The sequence below is a fragment of the Homo sapiens genome, chromosome 1 (assembly GCF_000001405.40).
Source record: "Homo sapiens chromosome 1, GRCh38.p14 Primary Assembly".
Classification (NCBI taxonomy): Eukaryota; Metazoa; Chordata; class Mammalia; order Primates; family Hominidae; genus Homo; species Homo sapiens.
Window position 1 is genome coordinate 89,177,886 of NC_000001.11, and position 3,258 is coordinate 89,181,143.

At 36.6% G+C, this 3,258-nt stretch overlaps 1 long non-coding RNA gene across 2 annotated transcripts in view; it reads left to right on the forward strand.

Moving 5' to 3' along the window:
* Positions 1–1,913, forward strand: part of LOC105378842 (uncharacterized) — a 51,385-nt gene extending 49,472 nt beyond the window's left edge. For both annotated transcript variants that reach the window (XR_947579.3, XR_001737682.2), the window contains exon 4: positions 1,434–1,913. This is a non-coding gene — a long non-coding RNA (uncharacterized LOC105378842). The remainder of the gene's footprint in view (positions 1–1,433) is intronic.
* The last annotated feature ends 1,345 nt before the right edge of the window (positions 1,914–3,258 follow it).

Sequence of the window (3,258 nt, forward strand, 5' to 3'; positions counted from 1 at the left end):
CCAAGGTGAGCATAGGATGAAGAATACAAGGAAGGTATAGCAAATTTGAGGATGTACCAGCAAATTGTGTTGTCAATTCTCTAATGGGAAAACAGGATGGCATTGATCCTAGGGAAACATGTTATATATAAACCAGCTAAAAATAGTGCAGTGTAAATGCTGGGCGAGGTGGCTCACACCTGTAATCCCAGCACTTTGGGAGACTGAGGTGGGTGGATCACTTGAGGTCAGGAGCTTGAGACCAGCCTGGTCAACACAGTGAAACCCCGACTCTGCAAAAATACAAAAAAATTAGCCAGGTGTGGTGGTACATGCCTGTACTCCCAGCTACTAGGGAAGCTGAAGCAGGAGAATCGCTTGAACCTGGGAGGCAGAGGTTGCAGTGAGCCGAGATAGCACCACTGCACTTCAGCCTGGGTGACAGACTGACAGTCTCTCTCAAAAAATTATTTTATAAAACATGAATAAGAAAAGACATTAAAATTAAAATTAAAATGACTAACAGTCACCATTATTACATGTAATTGAGACTACTAAAATAGTTTTACATGCAAATTGTATAAGAAGAATAGAATGTGTTTTTTTTTTTTTTGTAAAACGTTATAAGAAGGTATGGAAAAGTAAATTATTGCCTAGGGTTAAACAATTGTTTTAAATTAAGATAAAGCTAAAAGTTCAAATAAGTGGTGGAAGGTTTCTAAAAATCTTGCAAAAGAAATTCTCTGTGTGAACATATTGACTAAATTCAGAAAGGTATTATATTGTTTTTCTGTAAACTGAGCATTAAAAGTACAATAAGGTTTTCTTAAGGCACTAATTTGCTCTTCGGCAAAATTTGTAAAGGGTTATAAAAGGCTTTTGCTTCTTTAATATTTCTGAGTCAACCTTTTGGCAAAATACATCATTCATGGTAATCTGGAATTCTATTTCATAGTATCAAGTGTTTTAAACTCCGAACATATTTAACAGCCTTCCCAAAATCAAACTTCAGTTTCAAAATTGTCTTTCCCGATGCCTGGCTTTTTGGAAGGATCAGGGGGCCCCTGAATCACCCAGAGAAGAGGTAAACAGGATTATTTAACATGTTTAGGTACATAGTATTGCCAAAATGTTGTTCAATCTTTAGGTTATATTTTTGTGAATAATGCTAATATATGTCCCAAAATTGTATGAGATTTCTAAAATTTTTAATGTCTAAGTACATGCTGTCAATTATAATTATAGTTATTATATTAAGTTATAGTAGACCACATAAATAACCAAATTTCCTTGTATAAAGCTACTAATCTAAGTAGAACAAAAAAATTAATTGAATAACCAGGTTTTGTTTTTCCTCTTGCAAATGTCTGTAACGAGCATTCTTAACAGCATAGGTATCCACCTCCTGAAGTTCCAGTTAAATCTTTTAACCAAATTCACTTTCTCTCACCTAGAGACCATCAAGCTTCAGAAGATCATGTGACAAATGTTCCAGCCAGTTCCAGTTGAAGACACCACCCCTGGCCATCAAGAAGCTACTCTGCCTCCACTAGACAGAGCAGGGTGACAGTTCCGTGATCCCCAATAGGTAGGGACTTTGCTTCAAGCCAGCATGAGGCAGTTACAGAAGAAAGACCATTAGTCACTCCACCTCCCATAAAGATTTATGGGGATGACATCTCTCAGGGAGGAAATGAGGCAGGAAAATAGGATCTGGAGGCATAGAACATAAGGCCTATTCACACTTCAGCTATGCCGGGAAATATTATCTCCATTTACATAGGGCATACACAAAGTAACCAATGGAAACCTCTAGAGGGTATTTAAATCCCCCAAAATTCTGTAACAGGACCCTTGAGCCCCTATGCTTGGGCCCACTCCCACACTGTGGAGTGTACTTCCATTTTCAATAAATATCTGCTTTTGTTGCTTCATTCTTTCCTTTCTTTGTGTGTTTTGTCCAATCCTTTGTTCAAGATACCAAGAACCTGGACACCCTCCACTGGTAACAATAAGCTTGAGGAACATAAAGTCAATGGAGTGTCCAGTCCCTCAGAGAGAACAGGGTGGCAGATTAAGACAACTGGGCATATTCTTTCTGACTCAGTGAGTCTTTTCTGCATGACTTCCTAAGATTGTATATTTTATGTTGAGAGCTCTAGAGATTGGGAATACAGTAAAGATATGGTAAATTGGGGACCTACTGGAGGGTAGAATATGTATTTAATCAACCCAAACTTGAGCCTCTGTGCTGGCTTTTGTAGTTGGAACTAAAGATAAGTTGATGAGGAAAATGAAGCGCCTGAGATCAAGAGGTGGTAGAGAGAAGTAAATAAGCATTTTTAATTTCACAGTTATATAAAAAGTTCAATGGTAGGAGTAACAAGTTGGTGCCATGGCAACCCAAAAGGGGCATCTCACCAAGCCTCAGAAAGTCAGGAACCAGGACATCTTAAGGATGAGCAGGATTTGGTAGACAAAGGATAGAAGGTGAGGAAGCAGGGTTGTTTTAAGAAGTCTTTGTCCCCTGCAAAAGGGCCCTCAGTCAAGAGAATACTAGTTGACAACCCAGGGAACGTTGTATTTGACCATATATTTGGGGATAAACTTTGAAATCTTGTTGAAAGGCCATAATAAAAACAAAATTAGGATGCATGTTTTGTGCCCTTTCTAGTTCTCTGTTCCAAAGAGAAGATGTTTCCTGTTGAGCAGACTTATGCTATTTCTAGTAATATTAATTACTTTCATCCTGTTGTGGGACCTCTGCCATCCATGTATTATGATTTCAATTTTTAATTTGAATAATTGTATTTATCCATTTTTGAATACATGATGAATTTACATAAAATGTTGAAGACATATATGATGTAGAGTTACCCTCTCATTTCTCACCTTAACTATTCAGTTCCATTCCTGGTATGACCAGGATACTAGTATATTTTTTATTTTTCCAGAGGGAGCTAATAATGTACACACATATTCATTAGTTCCTAAATTAAGTGGTAGCAGCATACTTTCTGCATCTTTTTTTTTTCTAATGCTATATCTTGGATACTTTCTCATAGTAGTACAAATAAAGCTTCCTTTTTCATTTTAGTGACTGTAGAATATTCCTTTGAAAGTATGTCCCAAAATTTACCTCATCGGTAAGTGACAGATATATATATATTTATATACCAAATATATACCAGATATATTTATATTTATATACCAAATATAAAAATAAAATATATATATTTAGTTTCACTCGTGTCTGTGTGAAGAGACCACCAAACAGGC